Source organism: Homo sapiens, chromosome 2, assembly GCF_000001405.40.
Source record: "Homo sapiens chromosome 2, GRCh38.p14 Primary Assembly".
Taxonomy (NCBI): domain Eukaryota; kingdom Metazoa; phylum Chordata; class Mammalia; order Primates; family Hominidae; genus Homo; species Homo sapiens.
The window spans coordinates 21123331-21147325 of NC_000002.12; the positions used below are offsets into that span (position 1 = coordinate 21123331).

The 23995-nt window shown below is 35.3% G+C and overlaps 1 protein-coding gene across 4 annotated transcripts; it reads left to right on the plus strand.

Annotated features, from left to right (window-relative positions):
• Positions 1–601: 601 nt before the first annotated feature.
• On the plus strand, positions 602–23995 carry TDRD15 (tudor domain containing 15). Of its 4 annotated transcripts, none has more exons than XR_939798.3 (5): positions 638–716; positions 4271–4381; positions 11432–11517; positions 14135–20351; positions 23340–23995. XR_939798.3 is itself a non-coding variant. In XM_011533212.2 (4 exons), the coding sequence occupies exon 4, from the start codon at positions 14138–14140 to the stop codon at positions 19940–19942; it is 5805 nt and encodes a 1934-aa protein (XP_011531514.1). In that variant the 5' UTR covers positions 602–757; positions 4271–4381; positions 11432–11517; positions 14135–14137; the 3' UTR covers positions 19943–21038. The 4 variants fall into 4 exon arrangements, 2 of the variants coding, with proteins under 2 accessions (XP_011531514.1, NP_001293066.1); XR_001738578.2 differs by lacking the exon at positions 23340–23995 and adding an exon at positions 20457–21038; XM_011533212.2 differs by lacking the exon at positions 23340–23995 and having other exon boundaries at positions 602–757; positions 14135–21038.

Sequence of the window (23995 nt, forward strand, 5' to 3'; positions counted from 1 at the left end):
TATGCCCAATAACCCCCGCTACTTTGTCTATTTCCCATAAACAAGGACTTTTCCCTACATAACCCTAACATACCCACTGAGATCAGGAAATTAACATTGTATACATTAATACCATCTAATTCACGGACCCAGTTCAAGATTCTCCAAAATAGAGAAATAGAATTAAATGCAATAACTTAAATATCTGATTAACTGGTGCTCAATAAATAGACATTTCTTTCACTAATTCACTGGGGACTCCTGAGTTTCTATCCTGGTAGTTGCAAGATAGATCTGTCTGCATGAACTCCAACCCTTGCACAGCCAGGAAGTGGGGTGATACCACCCCAATGTGTCACACCCATATGACAAGCTACATCCTCTCCACCACATTAGCCCGTCCAGAGTCTCTCCATGGCCTGGCCCTGAGAGACAAGGCTGTGAGGCTGCCCACCTGGAGCCTAATGCCAGCTTCAAGAACTCCCAGTGGGCACCACCCTTACCAGGCCGCACACAGCTTCCGCCCTCAGGAAGCCAGGGACAGCGCCAGGCGGGACGCTTTGCGCAGCTGCAGGCCTCCCCCGCCGCATTCGGCCTTCAAGCCCGCACATGCTCCCTGGGGCCCCTGCGGGATTACGAGGGGGTGGGAACAGGGCCCGAGTCTCCCGCCATCTTGGGCCCTAGCGGTATTTTTCCAGCTCTGGGAAGAGCGGCCTGACCCGCAGCAGAGATTCTTGGTAAACCCCAGCTCCGTTTATGTATGGTTAGCCTGCTCTAGGTACTATTGGTTTCCATGGTACTTCCCCACTTTTCTCCTCCGACCTACAGGGGCTTTGGCCTCCCAGGGGCGGGCTGCGATCTGAAGTCTGTTGTGGGATCTTCAGCTGCTTCTGTTCTCCCTACCTCTAATGGCGGCGGCGGCTCAGATTCAGCCCTCCCACCCGGGAGCAGCAGCCCTTCCTCGAAAAATGCAGTTATCAGAGATGGGAGCACCCAGCACATGGGGTCAATGATGGCTGATCCTAATGCCAGGCTGTGTGTGAGTGTGAGAGAGACCCTAATGCCAGGGTGTGTATGACACAGTGATCCTAATGCCAGGGTGTGTGAGTGTGAGAGAAACCCTAATGTCAGGGTGTGTGTGTGTGACAGAGTGATCCTAATGCCAGGGTGTGTGTGTGTGTGTGTGTGACAGAGTGATCCTAATGCCAGGGTGTGTGTGTGTGAGAGAAACCCTAATGTCAGGTTGTGTGTGTGTGACAGAGTGATCCTAATGCCAGGGTGTGTGTGTGTGAGAGAAACCCTAATGTCAGGGTGTGTGTGTGTGACAGAGTGATCCTAATGCCAGGGTGTGTGTATGTGTGACAGAGTGATCCTAATGCCAGGGTGCGTGTGTGTGTGTGTGACAGAGTGATCCTAATGCCAGGGTGTGTGTGCGTGTGTGTGTGTGTGACAGGGTGATCCTAATGCCAGGGTATGTGTGTGTGTGACAGAGTGATCCTAATGCCAGGGTGTGTGTGTGTGTGTGTGTGTGACAGAGTGATCCTAATGCCAGAGTGTGTGTGTATGTGAGAAACCCTAATGTCAGGGTGTGTGAGTGTGAGAGAGACCCTGTCAGGTTGTGTGTGAGAGAGACCCTAATGCCAGGGTGTGTGAGCATGACTGAGAGATCCTAATATTGTGTGTGAGTGTGAGAGAAATCCTAATGTCAGGGTGTGTGTGTGAGAGAGACCCTAATGTCAGGGTGTGTGAGTGTGAGAGAGACCCTAATGTCAGGGTGTGTGAGTGTGAGACCCTAATGCCAGGGTGTGTGTTAGAGAAATCCTAATGTCAGGGTGTGTGTGTGAGAGAGAAATCCTAATGTCAGGGTGTGTGTGAATGTGAGAGAAATCTTAATTTTAGGATGTGTGTGTGAGGGAGAGATCCCAATGCCAGGTTGTGTGTGAGAGAAATCCTAGTTCTAGCGTCTGTGTGTGAGAGAGAGCGATCCTAATGCCAGGGTATGTGTGAGAAAGAGATTGTAATGCCATGGTGTGTGTTTGAATTAGATTCTAAGCTAGGGTGTGTGTGAGTGTGCGAGATATAATGCTAGGGTTGTGTTAGGAAGAGATCCGAATGCCAGGGTGTGTGTGTGTGTGTGTGTGAGTGTGAGAGATCCTAATGCCAAGTTGTGTGTGAGTTGTTGCGTGTGTGTGTGTGCGTGAGAGAGAGAGTGAGTTAGTGTAGACCAAAAGACATAAAGAGAGTTAGGGTGTGGAGGTGTTTTTCCGAAGAAATTTATTTTTGATGAGTCACTTAATTGTTGTACCACTTTGGTATACATTCAATTTTTCTAACCTTTTGAAATTAACAAGAAGTATAAGCTCTTTACAGCATGTCAGCTAAAGCAGAGGGTAAAGTGAATTACCTTTTACCCTCTGGAACTCTTTTTCCAGTTCCATCTCCTAATTTATTTGTTTGATACATACCCGTCACACTTTCCTCTATTTGTATATGAACACATATTCATGTATACACGTAAGATATCATTTTAGTACCTTTTTTATATTACTCTGACCTCCTCCCAAATTGTACAGGATTCTTAAGACCTATTCATCAGAGCCAATAGAAATTTTTTATTAGTAATTACAAATATTAAAATAAGTCCTCTGTGAATTATTCTGTTCCTCCATTAATGAACATTCAGGTTGTGCATGTGTGTGTGTATGTGTGTGTGTGTGTGTCTGTGTGTCTTACAGCTTTAGTGAAGTATATCTGAGATATAACAAACTACACATATTTGAAGTGTACAATTTGACATTTGACACATGTATACTCTATGAAACCACTATAAACGACATCGTAAGCATATCCATCACCTTCAAAGGTTTCCTTTGGTCCCACTCGAACCTGCGCTCCCCTTATCCAAGTCAATCACTGATCTTTCTGTTACTATAGATTAAATGGCATTTTCTAGGATGTTATACAAATGGACTCATAAAATGTGTATTCTGCCTCTTTGTGTTTCAGCATAATTACTTTGAGAATCATCCATGTTTTTATGAGTATCAGTGTTTCATTCTTTTTTTTTTTTCTTTGAGACGGAGTTTCCCTCTTGTTGCCCAGGCTGTAGTGCAATAGTGGGACCTCGTCTCGCCGCAATCTCTGCCTCCCGGGTTCAAGCGATTCTCCTTCCTCAGGCTCCCGAGTAGCTGGCATTACAGGCATGCGTCACCACGTCCGGCTAATTTTGTATTTTTAGTAGAGACGGGGTTTCTCTGTGTTGGTCAGGCTGATCTTGAACTCCCGACCTCAGGTGATCCGCCTGCCTTGGCCTCCCAAAGTGCTGGGGTTACAGCATTCCTTTTTATTGTTGGATAGTTTCCATTTTATGCGTTACGACTATTGTATTGTTCCATTGTTTATTGTGTTGACAAACATTTGGGTTGTTTTGTTTTTGGCTCTTACAAGTAAACTTGCTGTGAACAGTCTCCTACAAGTTTTTGTATGGACATATACTTTCATTTATCTTGAGTAAATACTCGGAAGTGGAATGACTGGGTCATGTGGAAGGCATATGGTATATATTTAACTTTTAAAGAAGCTTCCAAACTGTTCTCCAAGTGTTTCTATCGTTTTACAGTTCTTTCTGAAGTCTGTGACCTTTGCAGTTATTCTATACCCTCACCAGTGTTTGGTACGGTTGCCCTTTAATTTCAGCCATTCTAGTGGATGTGAAGTATTATCTTAGTGCGATTTAATTTGCATTTTCTTGATAACAATGATATTAAGCATCTTTTTCAAATGCGAATTTTCCATCAATAAATCTTCTTTGGTAAAGTGGCTGCTAAATCTTTTACCTATTTTTAAATTGGATTTTTTTTTTATTATTGAGTTGTAAAAGTTCTTTATATATTTTAGAGACAGGTTCTAGGCTATATGTTTTGTAAGTATTTTCTCACTCTCTCAGGCTTGCCTTTAGTCTTTTTATTGTGTCTTTGGAGGAGCAAAATATTTTAATTTTGATAAACTTTGATGTATTGATTTTGTCCCTCTTTAGCAGTTTGAATTTTTTGTGTCCTATTTAAGATGTCTTTGCCACGTCAAGGTACCTATGATTTTCTGTTTTTTTCTGAGAAGTTTTATACATTTAGTTCTTATATGTGGGTTTATATTCCATTTAGAATAAATTTTTGCATATGGTCAGTTTTTTTCCCTCTTTTAAGCGTATGGCTATCCAGCTGTTACAGCATCATTTGTCGAATTGCTGGCACCTTGGTTGAAAATCATTTTATCTTTTATTGACTTTATCTAGGTCTTATTTCTGCATTCTGATCTGTTCCAGTGAATTATATTTCCACACCAGTACTACACCAGTACCACAGTGTCTTGAGTGCTGTAACTTTATAATTAGTCTTAAACTCAGGTAAGCATAAGTTCTCAAATTTTAATCTTTTTCAGTTTATTTTTTTATAACCTATTTAGACCGTTCTGTTCCTTTGCATTTCCATAAAAGGTTTAGAATCGCGTTTGAATTTCTACCAAAATGCATCCCAGGATTTTGATTGGGATTATGTCAGTTCTGTAGGTGACTTTGGGGAGAATTGATACCTTAAAATTAATTTACATCATCTTTAATTTCTCTTAGCAGTGTTTTATAGTTTTAATTTTGTAAGTGTTTCAACAAACATCTTTCAGTATGTATTCTTATATTCATAAGGATAGATTACCAAGAGTAATCTTGGTATCAAAAGATGTGAGGACTTCAAGATTAATGGTACTATAAGTTTACATGACAAAAATATTATAAGAATTTATTCTCTTACCTGGAACCTATGAACTTTCATTCTCCACGTATTTGTTTGTTCTGGATATAATCATTCATTTATGTTTTTCCTAATACAGTACATGGAAGAGGAATTTTCATTCTTCTTTCCCCCATACTAGTGATATGGAACATATTTTTATGTTAAGGATGCTTTTTATCTATATTCCATGTTATGGTTTTTTTTTTAAATCTGTCATTTGTCTATTCATATAATTTTTTTTTTTTTTGAGATGGAGTCTCACTCTGTCGCCCAGGCTGGAGTGCAGTGGCGTGATCTCAGCTCACTGCAAACTCTGCCTCCCGGGTTCACGCCATTCTCCTGCCTCAGCCTCCCGAGTAGCTGGTACTACAGGCGCCCGCCACCACGCCTGGCTAATTTTTTGTATTTTTAGTAGAGACAGGGTTTCACCGTGTTAGCCAGGATGGTCTCGATCTCCTGACCTCGCAATCCACCCACCTCAGCCTCCCAAATTGCTGGGATTACAGGCATGAGCCACCATGCCCGGCCTGTATTCTTTTCTGTATAGCAATTTTAGCATATATGTACTTAACTGTGTTCTTCATTCCTTTTATGGTTTTTGGGTTTCTATCTTTCTTAAGATTGTCCACCTTATCCTAAAATATTTCAAATGTTTTTCTAAATTTTCTTCTAACTTTATGGCATTTTGAAAAGAATTTTGTTTCTTTTTTTTTTTTTCTTCACTGTCAGAGAAGAAATGTATGGCCATTTATAGAGAAATTCGAAGTGGAAAAATCAGAAGGAAAAATCACTGTCACTTAATATAATCCATGGGAAAACAAGTGTTTTCTTTAAAAAATGTTATTGTTATTTATTTTTTTTTTGACAGAGTCTTGCTCTGTCTACCAGGCTGGAGTGCAGTGGCAGGATCTTGGCTCACTGCAATCTCTGTTCCCCAGGGTCGAGCCATCCTCCCACCTTAGCCTCCTAAGTAGCTGGGACCAGAGGTGCACGTTACCATGCCCCACTAATTTTTGTATTTATGGCATTGTGTTTCTCTTTCAACAGTTGATGAAATTTGGGTAGTTTTCACTTTTAGTTGTTAGGAATAATGCTACTAAGAATGGTCCTGTCCAAATTTTTGTGTGGATGTGTTTTCAGTTTTCTTTGGTCTATATCTAGTAATGGAATTGCTGTTTTAACTTTCTGAGGAATCACCAAACTTTTTGAAAATGGCTGTACCGTTTTACAGGTGCAGATTGCAGGAGGGTTCTAATTTGTCTACATTCTTGCTAACGCTTGTAATTGTTTGGTTTTTAAAATACAGTCATCCTAGTGTGTCTGAAGTGGCATTTCATTGCAGTTTGTTTTCCTAGTGACTAATGATGTTGACTATCTTTTTATATGCTTATTGGCCTTTTATGTATCTTTTCTGAAGAAATATGTAGTCAAATCCATTGCCTGTTTTTAGATTGCATTGTCTTTCCATTGTTAAGTTTGGGATCTTTACATATATTGTGCATTAAGCCCCTTATCAGATAGGTGATTTGCAGATATTTTCTGCCATTTTCAGGGTTGACTTTTCACTTTTCTGATGGGTCCTTTGGAGTACAAGTTTTTTTTAAACTTTGATGGTCCAATTGATCTGTTTTTTTTATCTTTTGTTACTTGTGCTTTTGGAACCATATTTAAGAAGCCATTGCCTAACACATCTTGATATGTTTTCTGTTCCTTATAGCAATACCTGAAACTGGGTAATATATAAAGAAAAGGAATTTATTTCTTACAGTTATGGAGACTGAGAAGTCCAGGGTCAAGGGGCCACCTCTGGTGAGAGCCACCTTGCTAGTGGGGACTCTGCAGGTCCTGAGGTGGTACAGGGCATCACGTGGACAGGGGGTGAGCATGCTAGTTCAAGTCCTTCCTCTTCTTATAAAACCACCAATCCTACTCCCTGATAACCCGATAACCCATGAATGGATTAATTAATTCATAAGGACAGTACCCTCCTGACCTATTCACCCCTATTAAATGTCCCACATCTCAATGATTAAGTTGCAATGTGAGTTTTGGAGGGGACAAACATTTAAACCATAGTAGTCATGAAGATTTATTTCAAAATTTTTAAGGAATTGACAGCTTTAGTTCTTACCCATAGGTTTTTTATCCATTTTCAGTTGCTTTTTGTGCAGATGCTTCTCAACTTACAATGAGATTAAATCTTGATAAACTCATTGTAAATTGAAAATACTGTAAGCTGAAGATGCATTTAATGCTGGCAACAAAAGAGATGGTCCCTGACTTACCATGATTCAACTTAGGATTTTCAATTTTACAGTAGTGCGGAAGCAATACACATTCACTAGAAACTGTACCTCCTTTTTAAGTTGTGAGGAGCTTTTAGATTTCTATGGGGTTATATCCCCCAAAATTCCTTGTAAAGCTGAAAAATCTGAAGTCGAACCATCGTAAGTCTGAGAACATCTTGTGTATATTGTGTGAGGTCGGGGTCTGACTTCATTCTTTTGCATGTGGGTATCCATTTTTTTTTCAGGACCATTTATTGAAAATATTATTTCCCCGTGAATAAACTTGGCATCTTGTCAATGTTTACCTTTTTCAGTGTGTTAATGTTGACACTGATGGTGCAAAAGCAATGGTGGATAAAACTGCTGGCACCTCGCTGTGAATCAAGGCAATGGCACCAAACTATTGGTAGTCATTGTATTATTTACTACCAAACACTTGCAATAAAAAAGGTGGCAGTTTCACTTTAAAATGTCCTTGATCTAGCAGTAAAAATGAATGATATTAAAGCATGATCCTTGAAAATATGTCTTTTTAATATTCCATGTGGTGAAATGGGAGGTACTCATAAAATCACTTCTGTTGATACTGAACTGTGCAGATCGACTCTAGGAAAAGCATTTGATGTAACTAGTTGAGTTGCAAACCAGTGTAGCAAACTGAGTCAGATTTGGGTACTTTGCACATTGAAGCAAGCTCCTCACTTTAAGGAAAACAACTGACAGTATCTGTCAATGATAAAATCCAAGTTTTAAAGCAAAAATTAGAAAAGTCAGGAAAGTTATGTCTGCCATTTTGAGTTTGATGGTATCCCCAAATTTGATGACTTTTCTGATGAGATTGCTGGTGATACCAATCAGTTTTGTTTGGGGATGTTAGGTAATGTAATATGTCGACATATGGAAGATCTGTACATCTAACCAATATTTTCAAATTAATCCATGTGATATCTTATAAAATCATGCATATTTAAAAATTTCAAAGTACAAGATAGGTAGGCCAGTGGATTTTAAGATAATACAAAAAGTTCCCTTATGATTTTATATTCCACATTGTAAACTAACTTCGAAGAAACTACTACTCATTGAGTTGTTGTGCATATCAAAGAACGTCTTCAGTTATATGAAAAAGCTTTTAACGTTCTCCTTCCTTCTCCAACTACGTATCTGTGTATAGCTAGCTTTTCTTCACATCCTTCACCCAGAATAGCCTATTGCAACACATTGAATGTAGAAGCAGATATGAGAATCCAGCTTAATTTCTATTAAGCAGACATTGAAGAGATTTGTAAAAATTACAAAACCATGTCACTTTTCACTAATTTTTTGGTTTTAAGAAATATAACCATCTCTCATGAAAATATCTGTGTTTTTAGTGGGTTTAGTATTTTTAAATGAATTAAATATATTTTAAATTTCTATTTTTATTTCTAAAATGATAAACGTTGGTAGATATAAGTTACATAAATGAAAACTCTTTGAGATCTTCAGTGATTTATAGGACTATAAATGTGTCCTGAGAACAAAGGTTTGAGAACCACTAGTTTAATATAACTTTTTTGTTGCTTTTGGTAGAGAGGGTAGGGAGGGGCTAGGGACTATTAAGTTTGTGGGAGGTTACAGTTTTAATTAGAGTAGTCAGGGAATGCGTCACCTAGAAGGGGATCTTCTGACCAAAACTTGGAGGAAGTGACGAAGCAAGCTGTGCTCTGACAGCAGTTAAGCCCAAAGCCCAGAGGTGAAAAGATTCACGCAATGTCAAGGGAGGAATTGCAGCTTCAGTGTAATAAGTGATGGGAGTGTAATAGGAAATAAGGTAATAGAAAACACGGGAGGTTTTGGTGGTGGTGGTGGTGGTGATGGTTAGCTCTGTCGGACTTCATAAAGCCATTTTTGATGGCTTTAGTTTTCACTCAGTGAAATTAGAAGCCACTGATTTTTTTTTTCTCTCTTAGCATATTGTATCTTATATTTTAAAAAGATCACTCTGGTTACAATGCTAAGAATATTCACAGGTTGGGATGGGGTGGAGTTAAGGCTAAAAGACTAGTGAGGAAGGTAGTATTACAGATGACAGGGGAAGATAGTTTAGGCCAGGATTGTGGCAGCAGAATTGCAAGTGTCAGATTTTTATATGCTCTGGAGATGAACCCAGTAGAATTTCCTGGTGGATTGTGAGTGGAATGATAGTGGGGTCATGGATGATGAAGATATTTGGCTTGAGAAAATCCTTCATGCAGTAAATTAAATTGATTTTAATGTTGTTTATAGCTTCATTTTTTGCCTATAGTTAACAAAATTAATATATTAAAAAAATTTTATGACCTCTGGGTTTTGTCTTCTAAAAGATGTCTCCCTTAGTAAGATTAGAAAAATATTCTTGTATTTTCTTCTAATTCTTTTAGATAGTTTTAATAAATTAGTTCTTTTATCTACCTGGTATTTATTTTTGCTCTCACTAAAGCAGAGTTTCTCAGATTCAGAACTGTTGACATATTGGGCTGAATAATTCTTTGTTTGTGGAAGAATGTGCTCTGCTGTGCATTATAGGATATTCAGCGGCATCCCTGGCTTCTACCCACTAGATATTGGTAGCACTCACTTCCTACCTCAGTTAAGACAACTAAATGTATTTCCAGATGCCCCCAGATGTTCCCTTGGGGAAAAAATTGCTCCTAGTTGTGAACTTCAGTAAAGAATGTTAAAAAAAATGAAGCCCTGATTCTGAAATATGCATACTCAAATAGTATATCCAGTTTTATTTTCATCACATCAGTGTCATTAACAAGGTGAATCTAGAGACTATTCTGAATATGTGGAAAAGATGGGAGGAGGAAAACCAAAGCACAGATGCTTCAACTTGCAGTCTTTTGGAACATAGTGACCTTGCCAGAATACTGGCCAAAGTTTGAGCAGAATGACCTTAAATTTTGAAAAAGGAAGAATTATTAAGCAGATTCTGTCCCAGAATGGTGCTTTGCTTGTTTGTTTTTGTGGGTTTTTTTCTTTTGTATTTGCATCTTTCATTTTTATTTTGGCTCTTGTCCATGATTATGTACTTTAGTTGAAACAACAGTGTAAAGCAGTGGAAATGAAATAATGTACATAGTGAACTGGACTGATAATCAGAAAACCTAATCAGAAACCTAAATCTCTTTTTAGATTTCAATTTTGATCAATTTCGGTTTCAGTTGATCTTCAGTTCTGTGGTCCGAAAAATGAAGGATCTTATTGTGAAGATCAGTTAAACTAGTGTACTAAAACCTTTAAAAAATTTAAAGCATTATAAGGAGTTATTAATACAAGGAACTATTATTTTACCTGCTTTAAGATTTTTGACAAAATTTATATTTAAAACTTAAAATTGTATCATAGTTCTAGACCTGTACATTGAAATACTGTAGTCACTAACCACATATAGCTATTGAGCATTTGAAATATGGTTAGTCCAAATTGAGATGTATGCTAAGTGTAAAATGTACACCATAGTTTGAAGACTTAGTATTAAAAAGAAATCAAATATCATAATATTATGTTGATTACATGTTGAAATGATAATAGTTTGGATGTATTGAGTTAAAGTAGATTATGAAAGTTAATTTCATTTGTCTCTTTAATTACTTTTAAATGGTGTTACTGGATTACTTTATATATATGGCTCAATTGTGTTTCTAGTGGACTTTACTGGTCTGGACTTGTTTGATGTTAATTTATAGAAGATAAACTCCAATGAGTGCCATTATCTATAATATATATTCTATAGAATCAGGGAATTTTAGTATAGAAAGGGTTTTCTCTATCAATTTTAATAGTATTTGTAGATTATATTTTCCTCAAACCTCAGGGGAACTGTGATGCTGTGTATTTTTTATTTAGATTTAATTCAGGTGTTTGGGAACTTTGGATTTAAATTTGATTTTTTAAAATATAATTTTTATATAAAACATTCAAATATTATATACTAAATTTAAAAGCAGAAAAGAGCACTAGTTAGTGCCATTAGATTAACTCATTGATTATTTAAGTTGTGGCTATCCCATATTTTTGTTTGACTCTGTGTTGGATCATGTATGATTTTGGAAGCAGGTAGACTGTTCCATATTTGTGAGCCTGATTTTCCCGATACTGTGCTATCAAACATCATAATAAGTCAAATTATATGATAAGGCTGCTATCGGCTTGTTTTTAATAGAATAACTTTATTAGTCTCATTTACTGACTTCAAAATTTTATAAATGTATGAAATTGTTAGAACACTAATGAATCCATTTTATAGGTATTTTGATTTTTGCAAAAAAATCTTTTGCATTTTACATTTTAAGATTTCTGCTGCAGAAAAATAGTTTGAAAAATCCTAATTTAATTAAACTTTTCATTTTACAGATTTAGAGTCTGATTCTAAGGAAAAATAGTTTCCCAAATTTCACACAATTAATTGAGTACTGATATCTGAATCCTGTGTATACAGTGTAAGTACTTTCTGTGATATAATAGTCTTCTAAGGATTATCATATTTGAATAAGGGTTGGATCTAGAACATCTTGATTTAAATTATGTCTTTAAAGTAATACATTTGTTCATTGTGTAAAATAATTAGTTTAGTTTTAAATTTTATATATAAATTGTATTTATATATAAATTGTGTATAATTATATTTATACACAATTTATATATATAAATAATTATATTTATATATAAACAATTAGTTTAGTTCTAAATTTTATATATAATATAAAATATATTATGTATTAAATATTATATATTTATATAATATATTTTATATATAAGATATAATAAAAAGATATATACATATTTTTATATATATAAATATCTATAATAAAAAAGATGTGTATATATACACCTGAATTTTCTTTGAATTATTTTCATTTGGTCTTTAGATGCCCAAGGGTAGGAGCTTTGTCCATGACACTGGGAACTTTCTTCATGACCCTATTTAGTAAGCATTGTAGAGGCAGGTGAAAGAGTTTGACTGACATCCACAGGATAGGTTATGTTGTCTACCTGATGAAGAATTTTTTTTCATTGTGGGGCCCTCTGGTGAGTATCACATGGGACCTAAAATTTTCCTATGTGCCAATTTATAGAGGCTCATTCACATACCTCTTCTTCAGACGTTTTTGTAATAAGTCTTCCAGTCTTGTTCCTTCAGCATTCCTAATCATCTTGCAGAAACTATTAGCCATTGCATATTAATATGCATAGGTTATTAACTCAAGCAATTTCTTCTTTAGGCAAAGTAGATGTAATGGTAGGTCTTTCTACTGTGAAGATTTTCTTTCATTTCTTAGTCTGCCACCCTACCCCCATTCCCACCCCCACACCCGGGTTGGGGTGTAATGCCTCAGCAGTCTATTTCTGGATGTTACTGGCATTAAGTGAGAGCCATGTATAAACCAGATGTTTACCCCTTCTGATGTGGAATTCCCCAGGAGTCCATCTGTATTGTTTGAGGGAGAGATAGTGACGTGGAGGAGTAGGTTTTTGATAGTTTGAGTAACCTATTTAAAAAGTTCCTTGTGCCTTTGGGCTTGGTTGTCTTCTATGTACTGTATATACCACCTCTGTTTAATGAAGGAGATCTTCTGGGTACCTCTACTTTTTATACATGAAAAAGGGTGGCATGGTTCCTGAAAGATGTATGTAAATTTTTTCTTTCCCATATGCCCATGTGAATGATCACAGGGCCCTTCAGGTGAATGCCAGGAAGACAGTTTTGGTATAATCCAGTACAGGATTCTTTGAGAGTACCTGGTTGTTTCTTCATGTAAGGAATTAATGGGGCTATAAACTGAGTAAAGTGTGGGAATTGGGTGAAGGCCTGTGACTAAATAATGAAAACATTTAGACTTTGGTGAGACTTTATATTCTGTCCCTACATACTCCTCTTTCATCTTTTTATCTTTTTCCTCTGAGCTTTGGGGTATTTAGTCAAAATTTTCTTCTAATTTATTTTTATTTTAGGTTTTATTTTCCCATTATACTTTGAAATCTATCATGTGTGTATAGTTCATCCTAATATCAGTTGTTATGTTTTCACCTTTTGACCTTTTTGAGAACAGGACTTTGCTATTTCTTTCAGTACATCTATTTCTATGGAGTAGCATTTCCTTGGTTTCTTTTAAGAGGTTCCCTCATTTTGAGGGGGAAGGCATCCAATGTTTTTCTCTTACTCATCCTCATAGAAATAAATTAATGCCTGTCAACTGTTAACTCAGAGTCAAGGAAGAGTTTAGCTGTATTCTGTCACAGTAGATGATGGTTCTTGCCTGAAATTGGGGATTATTTGTATTTCTTGAATATTTGCCTTATTTTTAGAATCCTAAAAATCCACAGATTAGCTATGGTAGAAAATTTTGCCTTGATGCTATAGATTCCTTCCCTTTTCCACTTATTGTGGCCAGTCATGCCAGTGATAAGGTCTGGATATACCTAACCTACTTCAGTGTCTTTCTATGCTTAGCTTCCCTTAGTGGTGTCCAGGTCTCAGCTGATTTCCCTCAATCAAAGATGAATCCCGGGATTGTATAATGATGCCGATAGAGTCCAAATATTGCGAGTTCCGCACAGAGTGGGGAGTGAAAACAGTGTGCCCCTTTTTGGTTCACCATCTGCCCTTCTAGCACTCAACTCTTTGAGTTATAGGTTGTTGGAAAGAGTTTGCATGAAGGAAAGTGGTTGTCTCACAGGAGGAGAAGGAGGTCCCCAGTGAGGCTAATTTAGCTCCTTTCATTACACCACATCTGTCCAATATCCAGCTGGAATTTGTTAAAGTTTCTGGAAAATAAAGGTTGCTCCTCTCTGTTTTCCAGTGATGGTATTCTTCCTATTTAAAAAAAGTTTTTGTAATTATTTCAATGAAAAATTTTAAAAGTATAGAAAGCAGTGAATGTTAGATTTTGTTTATTTCACCAGCGTCTCATTCGATATGTATAATTTTTATCAACATGTTTAAATTTGATAAAATACAGGCATATAATTATTTTTAGTTTTATATTTATATGCCAAACATAAGGCTAATTGCAGTTAACTTTGATAGCTAATGAGTAATTATTATTTGCTTTTTAGAAAATGGATTCTACATCTTTCTTACCAACATTTTTAGATGTGGATCTGACAATATCACATATTAAATGTCTTCCCAAGGATATTCTGGTGAAATTTCAAGGCATAAAGAGTAATGAATGTGAGTTTGACTACCATGTATTGCAGAGAGAAATACAACATACTCCAAAAGTGAAAAATAATGTGGAAATTGATGAATTTTGTTTGGTGGAAGAAAGAGTATCTGGAGAATGGCAGAGAGGAAGAGTCATGGAAAAGAAAAATGAACTCTATACAGTGCTCCTCATAGATCGCGGAGAAGAACTAAGAGTTGCTGGTCCACAGATTGCTTCAGCCTGTGGCAATTTATTTGAGCTACCGCCACGGGTAGTATTTGGTATTTTTGCGAATATACTACCAGTTGGGGAAAAATGGTCCCCTAAAGCTTTGAATTATTTCAAGTCATTAGTAGGAATACAAGTGAAAGGTTATGTGCAAGCTATTTTACCTCTGCAAATGTTTCTTTTTGAAGTGCCAAAAATTATATCTCAGGCTCTCGAGTTACAATTAGGAAGACTTGTTGATGGAGATTCATTTCGTCTTATTGTGGAAATGTTAGAAGAATTCCCTCAACAAATGCCAGATTTATTACAACATAAAAGGCCTGAATTGTCATTAGGTAATAAAGATACTTCACTTGATATTCAGCATGTTCTGGATAAGTTGCAGCCATCTTTGTCAGTAGGAAGTACTGAAAGTGTAAAGGTATCATCTGCATTGAGCCCAAGTAAATTTTATTGTCAGTTAATTAAATGGACTCCAGAGCTAGAAAACTTGACAGCACATATGACTTTGCATTATGATACCGTCTGTCAAGAAACTAGTCCCACGTGTGATAATTTTGGACTGCTTTGTGTTGCCAGAAGGCGAAATGGACAGTGGCATAGAGGAATTCTTCAGCAGCTCTTGCCCCCAAATCAAGTAAAAATTTGGTTTATGGATTATGGCAGTAGCGAGGCTATACCCTCAATTTATGTAAAGAAACTTAAACAGGATTTTATTTTAGTACCATTATTTTCATTTCCATGTTCTCTGACATGTTTGCACAGTCCAGATAGAGATGCAAGAATATTTCAACTGAGTATATTTAAACAGGCCTTATTAGGACAAGTGGTATATGCACACATTGATTGGTTCAATAAGGATGAGTGTTTGTATTATGTGACATTACAAACTCAAGAGTCTACAGTTAATTCTAAGTGTCTACTGAAGACTGTAGGCACACAAGTACTTTGTCCGATGTCTGATTCAAAAATCTCCAATATCTTGAGTGAGACAAGTGTGTCTGATGTAAACAGCTTTGCAGTTGAGAGTTTTATGGGAAATATTGAATGGTCAATAGACTCTCTAAATAAAAAAGGCATTTTAAAAGTAGGTTTTCCCATTAAAACAGTACAAATGGAGATAGAGGCTGCCTACATAGCTTTTATAGCATATGTATTAAACCCATCAAATTTCTGGGTACGCACTAATGACCATCGGAATGAATTTCAAGAAATAATGAAAAACATAAACAAATTTTATGATTTGTGTGAAAACGATGAAATGATTCTAAGAAAACCTGAACCTGGATTATTTTGTTGTGCTAGATATAGCAAGGACAGACGTTTTTACAGAGCTGTCATCACTGAAATTAATGGTTATAAGATTAATGTTTATTTTTTGGATTATGGTAATACTGATTCCATACCATTTTTTGATGTAAAAATTTTGCTTCCAGAATTTTGTGAGTTGCCTGCCTTAGCGATGTGCTGTTCACTTGCACATATATTTCCTGTTGAAGATTTATGGACTAAGGCTGCAATTGATTATTTTAAAAAATTAGTTTTGAACAAAGCAATTTTGCTTCAGGTTATAGCAAAAAAAGATGACAAGTACACTGTAAATATTCAAAGTGTTGAAGCCTCAGAAAATATTGATGTTATCTCTCTTATGTTACAAGCTGGATATGCAGAATATTTTCAAGTAGAACTAGAATATTTTCCAAAATCTGTAAGTGAATATTCAATGCTAAATTCAGAATCTAAAAACAAAGTTAATATTAAAAAAGTCATATCTGCCCTTCTTGAAGGACCTAAATCTAAAAAGTACCATTCAAATAACCTGGTGGAAAATAACTTGTCTTTGCCAAAGTCCCTAGCTGTTAATATCTCAGAATTTAAAAATCCTTTCACCTTGTCTGTGGGACCTGAGTCATCCTGGCCTTATAAAGAATATATTTTTAGACCAGGAACAGTTCTTGAAGTTAAATGTTCCTGTTATTATGGCCCAGGTGACTTTTCATGCCAGCTCCAATGTAAGTCAGAAGACCTAAAATTACTAATGGAGCAAATTCAGAATTACTATAGTATTCATTCTGATCCTTATGAGATTGGGCAGACTGCTTGTGTTGCTAAGTATTCTGGGAAGTGGTGTAGAGCTGCTGTTTTGACTCAAGTATCAAAAGAAGTTGACATAGTGTTTGTTGATTATGGTTACCAAAAAAGGGTTTTAATTGAAGATCTTTGTGCAATTAACCCACGTTTTCTCTTGTTAGAAAGCCAAGCCTTCAGATGTTGTCTTAACCATTTTATTGAGCCTGTTAGTTGTAAATTATTCAGTTGGACAAGAAAAGCATTCAGAGACTTGTGGAATTTTATCTCTTCATCTAGAGGGTTATTGACTTGTATCATCTATGCCTTAGTTATTATACATCCAAACCATTTATATAACTTAGTGGATTTACAGTCCTCATTTACTAGTGCAAAAGAATTTCTTATGAATCGTGGCTCTGCTCAGTATATCACATTATCAGAGACATTCCCATCTTTATTTAGTCTTTACAGTTACTGTTATTCTTCCTTTAATATACAAATTGGAAGTGAAGAAGAAGTATATATATCTCACATATATAGTCCCCAAAAGTTTTATTGCCAGCTTGGCAGAAATAATAAAGATCTAGAGATGATAGAAACAAAAATCACAGAGAGTGTTAACCTCCAAAATTTTCCAAAATATGATTCTAATAAAATGAGAGTGTGCATATCTAAGTATGTAGAGGATGGTCTCTCATACAGAGCTTTAGCAATACCAACAGATTCATCATCTGAGTTTCAAGTCTATTTTGTAGACTTTGGAAATAAGCAATTAGTAGGAGAAAATATGTTGAGGGCCATTTCAGCTCAGTTTCCAGAGTTGTTGTTTACACCTATGCAAGCTATTAAGTGTTTTTTGTCAGATCTTAGGGATGTAGATATTCCAGCAGAAATCAGTAGTTGGTTTAAAGACAATTTCTTGGGAAGATCATTAAAGGCGATAATATTGTCCCAGGAGTCAGATGGACAGCTTGGTATAGAATTGTATGATGGATCTCAATATATAAATGAGAAAATTAAAGTGTTGCTTCATGCTTATGGAAAAAGACATTGTGACCAAGCATGCTGCATGGAAAAGAGTAATAAAATAAATGAGAATAAGAGATTTACTACTTCTTTGAAAGGCAAAACAGGAAACAACTATCGCCATAATGTGATAAATAAACCTAGTCCAGTAACATATTCCGAAAGAAAAATAGACCAATTGATGCATCCCAAAAATATACATGCCAGGTTTTTGAAGCCATCAGTTTGTTATAAAATGGAACCTGTGTCAAAAAACAAAATGAAGACTTCTTTGAATGATGGGCTTAAAGGTATAAAAATTGTCCCTGGAGCTGCACATATTCTTGAGAACAGGCGTGTGGGCCAAAAATCAGTAAAGGTTGTATCACAGTCTTTTATCAGAGCATTAAATCAAACAACCTCACAAAACCCATATGACCTTATTAGGCCACAGATCAAAGACCTTCCTCAACCGCAAATTTATTTGAATGCCAAAGTTAAAGGGTATGTATCTAATATCAGTAATCCAGCGAATTTCCATATTCAGCTTGCTGAGAATGAAAGTGTAATTATCAGACTTGCTGATGCTCTAAATGCAACAGCAAGGAGATTGAGAGAGAGAAAATCAGTTAAACCTCTAGTGGGAGATCTTGTAGTTGCAGAATATTCTGGTGACAATGCCATTTACAGGGCAGTTATTAAGAAAATTTTGCCAGGAAATTCTTTTGAAGTAGAATTTATTGACTATGGTAACTCTGCAATAGTAAACACATCTAAAATTTACGAACTTCAGAGGGAATTTTTAACTGTTCCTCAGCTAGGAATCCATGCTTTTCTTAGTGGAGTAAAATGGAATGAGCCTGATGAAATATGGGATGACAAAACTGTGGATTATTTTACTTCGAAAGTACATAACAAAACAGTTTATTGTGAATTTTTGAAAAAGCATGATCAGAAATGGGAAGTAAATATGATTTGTGATGAAAAATGTGTCATTAATGAACTACTGAAATGGAAAGCATGTTCAAAACTGCAGAAGTCAGCATTGCAGATGCCTCAGGTTCTCTCTCAAAAGGTGAGGCCAGGTGATAATGAAATGAAGAAAGGAAAATCAAATGAGTCTGAAGGTTCTATGAATTCAAACCAACAGCTGTTTAAAATTCCTTTGGAAGAATTCAAACTTGGACAACTTGAAAAAGCTGAAATGCTTAATGTTTCAAAAAGTGGAAGATTTTATGTGAAGTTATCCAAAAATAAAAAAATTTTATCAGATTTAATAGTATTAATTACGAAAGAAGAAAAAAAATCCCCTTTTTTATCAATGGAAAGTATTGAAAAAGGTTTAGAATGCTTGGCAAAATCTAAAAATACCTTGAAATGGCATCGATCAAAAGTAGAAGAAAAGTATGTTGATGATAAAGTACTTGTTTTTTTAGTAGATTGTGGTATCTATGAAATAGTACCTGTATGTAATACCAAGCTGCTTAGTAATGAAATAAGAAACATTCCTAGACAAGCTGTACCTTGTAAATGGATTTGGTTTGAAAATTCTAAGAACATATCATTTGAGTGCTTATTTGCTGATTTGGAAATAAATATTCTTTTCCTGAAATATTTAGATGCTGTTTGGGAAGTAGAAATTTTGGTAGATGACCTGTTACTTTTGGAATACTTAAATTTGAATACAGTTCCTGTTGAAGAAAACAAACTTAGACTTGCAGAAATTGTTTACAACATTGAATCTAAGACTCCTGTATCATCATGCACAATAAAATCATTTACTTGGGTTCAATTCCAAAATGATAGGCAGTATTCTGGTATTGCAACTGCTGTTTCTGATCCATCAGACTTCAGTATTCAGTTAGAAGATTTCTTTGACATAATGAAATACCTTTTTATGTTGCTTTCTGATCTACCAGAGACCTTACAAACATTGCCTCAGGAGTTCATAATTCCCGGTTCTAGTTGTTTGTTCAAATATAAATCGGAAGATCAGTGGAATAGAGTAGAAATTTCTGAAGTCTCACCTCAGTCTTTATGTCTTGTGTTGGTTGACTATGGATTTTCTTTTTATATACGTTATTCAGAAATTATAAATCTTAAAGTTGTTCCTGAGGAACTTTTGAATTTGCCAAGGCTGAGTTATCCATGTATTTTATATGGTATCTTACCTGCTAAAGGAAAACATTGGAGTGAAGAAGCCAAAATCTTTTTTCGAGATTTCCTAAGTAAACCAGACTTAGTTTTTCAGTTTAGGGAATATCATTCTGAAACAAAACTGAAAGTAGATGTCATTCATGAGAAAAACAATTTGGCAGATATATTAGTTGCATCTGGTCTCGCAACTTATTCTAAAGATTCACCTCATCTTGATGCAATTACTGCTACTGAATCTGCTAAAAATCCAATATAAATTACAAAGTAAGCCTATTTTCCCATTGTTAGATCAAAATTGTTACAAAAAACAAAATATAAATTTTACATACACTGAGAAACAAAAGTGTAAACAAATCTACAAAGAGGAAAGATGTCTGTAAGAACCTCTTAAGGAAAATTCGTATTAGTAAAAGATCACATTCTAGAAATTTAACAGTGAGAAAGAAAGTTGGTAGTGGAAAACATTTCCAGAGTACCATTTTGTTTGATACATGTACAACAGCTTCATTTTGGGAACTGCCTGATGGTTTGAAGAACAGCAGTCACGTTGAAGACATTTTTGAAAAACTACCAACTGAAGGAATACAGGAAAATAAGACAATGAACTTGAGAACAGCAGTAAAAACATTGCATGATAATAAAAAAAAACACAGAACACTTAAAAGGTAAACAGACATTTTTATAAAGTAGATTATTTTCTGTAGATTCTTTTTATTTGATTCTTTAAAAGTTTTTCATGTACTAACATCCAAATTGAAAATATGTTGCAGGAAAACTTACTAGAAAATCTGGATAAACGGATGAACTGGAAGTGGCCACTACGATTTTAAAACGTTGCTTCACTATCTTTACATTTTTTGAATGGTGAAGTTTTTAGAATGTAGTGAAAGATTTTAACCACACATGCATGCACACACGCATGACGTTTCACAAATAATTTCAAGGGTTTCATAAAACTCCTAAATGTCTGTAGATCTCATGTTAATAAATCTTGCTATTATTAGTGAGCTTCCTGCGCTTATTTTGAAGAATCATTTTTCTGTTATATATAGTTTTATATCATATGAAATGTCTTTAGGTTTTTTGAGTGTGCTTCTAGCATATTTCTGAACCAGATAAATTTATAAATAAACTGACTAGCATATTTTCTCTTAAGTCTTTTAAATGTCAAACTGATACTAAAATATTGTTAAAATTTTAATATTTTATGCACTACAGTATTGTCTGATTTTGTTTATCCACATTACATTCATTTTCTGTATGGATTAGTTACTGAGGATTTTGTAGGCTGTAAAGAATGTTCCCCGGCAAATGTTTGTTTTGACTTTATAAATAAAATGTATATTATTCCACATTCTGTATTATAACTAATGTCATAACAGGCTATACTCTTTCAGTGAGTGGAAATGTCTTGTTTTTATTGATGTAATGTTAGAAGGTGTTTTATTTGAATTTTACCTAGATGTTTTATAGTGAATTGATAAATGCTTTACAATTGGCCCCCTTTTCTATCTAATTTTTGAATCTTTCCTGATAGCAGTAGTGGTTATGGTAGCGATAGAAACAGCTACCATATTTTGAGTGCTTATTATGCTTCAGGCACTGTCCCAAGAGTCTTATATGTATTATCTCATTTAATGCTCATTACAACTCTACAAAGTATGTTGATATAAAGGTTTAGGAACCTAATAACTAGTATTCCACTTCAAGTTTTAAACCACTTTCAAATAAACCTATTCAGAAGGAGAAAGATAATTCTTAAGCAAAATGTCGCACTTAAACAAAATAAATAAAACCAAAAACAATATTGAAGACTGACTTATATTCATGGAAAAATTGGCTTACCAATAATGAAATAAGGAATTATTTAGACTTACACAGACGGTTATAGGCACAGACAAGAGAATCTTCTTGGGAGGGTACCCATGTAAAACAGCCTGAGGCAGTTCTCCCAAAAAAGAAAAGGAGGAGGAAGAGGCTAATCTAACATATGTCTTTCTCCTTCCAAATGGACCAGTGAGATTGACCTTACTTCTGGAAGGCATAAGTCAGAAGAGCAAAGAGGCTAGGAGTATTATGCTAGGAGAGTGCCCCACCCATGAACCTCCACATGGAAGGAAACATCAGGAGTGGGAAAGAAGCAGTCTCCTCCAAGCTATTATCACCACTTTATGGATGAGTCTCAGGGAAATTAAATATCTTGCCCATGAATTTAAAGTTGCTAAGTAAGGAACTGAGATATTCAACTCAGATTTCTCTGACTGATTTTGTTTGTTATTTATACTGCCTTTTGAAAAGAGTTAGCTTACTTGGGGAAGAGTTTCCTGTAAACTATTGGCACCAAACCATACATTTTGGCTCTTAGGTCCTTTACTATTCCCATACCTGTGTATATGTCTACCTTCTTTTATGTTTTTTTTGGCCATCAAATTCTTTAAGAACCCACTTTGGGTCCCTGCTTCTATCTTATAGCACTCCTAACACACAGTGAATCACTAAGTGAGTTAAAGTAGCTGTTGTAAAAGCAGTTAGAAAACCAAACATTAAATTATACTTCAGAACGTAAATTTGAAGTCATATGTAAGGAAAAAAATCAAGACTTTGTTATGACAAATATAAGAAATATGGTTTCACGGATTAGTAATAAATTTCCATACTTGCTATAATCATAGCCTTAAAACAAAACAAGAAAACGACATTAAAAATAACTGGTTTTTATTGCCTTTACTATCTCAGCTCCTACCACCTCTATTACTCTTCCACTATTATTGCCTGCAGGTACTCTGGGTCTAGAGCAAAGTGATTTTAGTAGTTCCTCTTGGTCTAAGACATCAATATTTGAAAGGGTCTTACGTACTAAAAAAGCATAAAAAAGGGACTCTATTACAGTGGTTCTCAACCTTGGCTTTGCATTGGAATTAACAAAGGAAGCTTTCAAAAAACTCTGACGCCTGGGTCCCTATTAAAAATTAAATATTCTGTTTTAATTGGTCAAGAACTGTGGCTTTACTAATGGGTGTTTAAAGCTCTCCTGGTGATTCTAATGCACAGCTAAGGTTGATAATCACTACTCTAGAGAGGACTGTGGATAACTTCCTGAATTATTTTGTGAGAAAAAATAATTTTAGGCTTTCTGTGTAAAAACTCTTAGAATCTATTCTTCCTGTATTTGAAGTCCAGACTATACCTGATGAGTCACAGTAATTTTGAGCTAAACTTAATTCAGAGTAAATAGTAAAAATATTATCATGTTAGAAATGGCCTAGATGTATATTACGTTTACTTTATCTTGCCCAGGTATTGTTCTAAATGCAGAAGTTGCCACCCTTTACATTTAGAAAATTGGCTTAACTTTCCCATAGTTTCAGCCTATTTTAACATCAGTGTTTAGATATTCAAGGTAATTGTTTTTATCTGTAGACTATTTTCTCCAGAACAAACTTGTTAGTCTTTTTCCAGGGTGTTTTCTCATTTGTTTTTGTTTTTTAAAATCATGTTTGCTTGCCCACATGCTTGTTTTTGCCTGACAGTCCTTGTATAGATTATGAGAACTAGAGAATGTAATAACCCATTCAAAAAAGCACAAGAAATATCTGTTCATTCTTTGCTAATGAGGCAGTGCTTAATGGTAATATGTGCCTATTCTTCTACAGTTGCTTATTTAACTGGAAGTCATCTTTGAAAGAAATCTAGAATGACAGCCCATTTTTAAAGAGGAGTTTTTAATATTTTAAATATGAAGTAACATCTAGACATCCAGAGGAGAATGGCTGATAGACATGTGAAATGTCAGACTGCGTCTTGAGAACACAACACTATTGAGTCATACAGATTTATGACTCGCTTGCATTGGATGGTTATTAAAAATATGGGCACTGAGGCTAACTCCCTGAGTGTGAATATTTGCTTTGTCCCTTATTAGTGATAAAACCATGGGTAAGCTTTTAAACTCTTCTGTGCCTCAGTTTCTTCTTGTGTAAAATGGAGATCATAATAGTAACTACCCCTTTGGGTGGTTGTGAAGATAAATTAAAACATGTAAAGCATTTCAGTGTTGCCTGGTACATAATAAATGCTCACTAACTGTTAGAAATATAATCATCCTGATAAAACTATATTTGTTTTGAAAGTATTTTTGTGAAATCATAAGTTAAAATAATTTTTGGTGCTGCTAAGCAAGAAACTGAACTATATTTAAGGTGAATACACACAGATGTATTTAGTATTAGTATAATGGTTACATTCATCATTAAATTTCTATTCTGAAGATAGGATTTATGAGTAAGAGACGATTTATGAGTAAGAGACA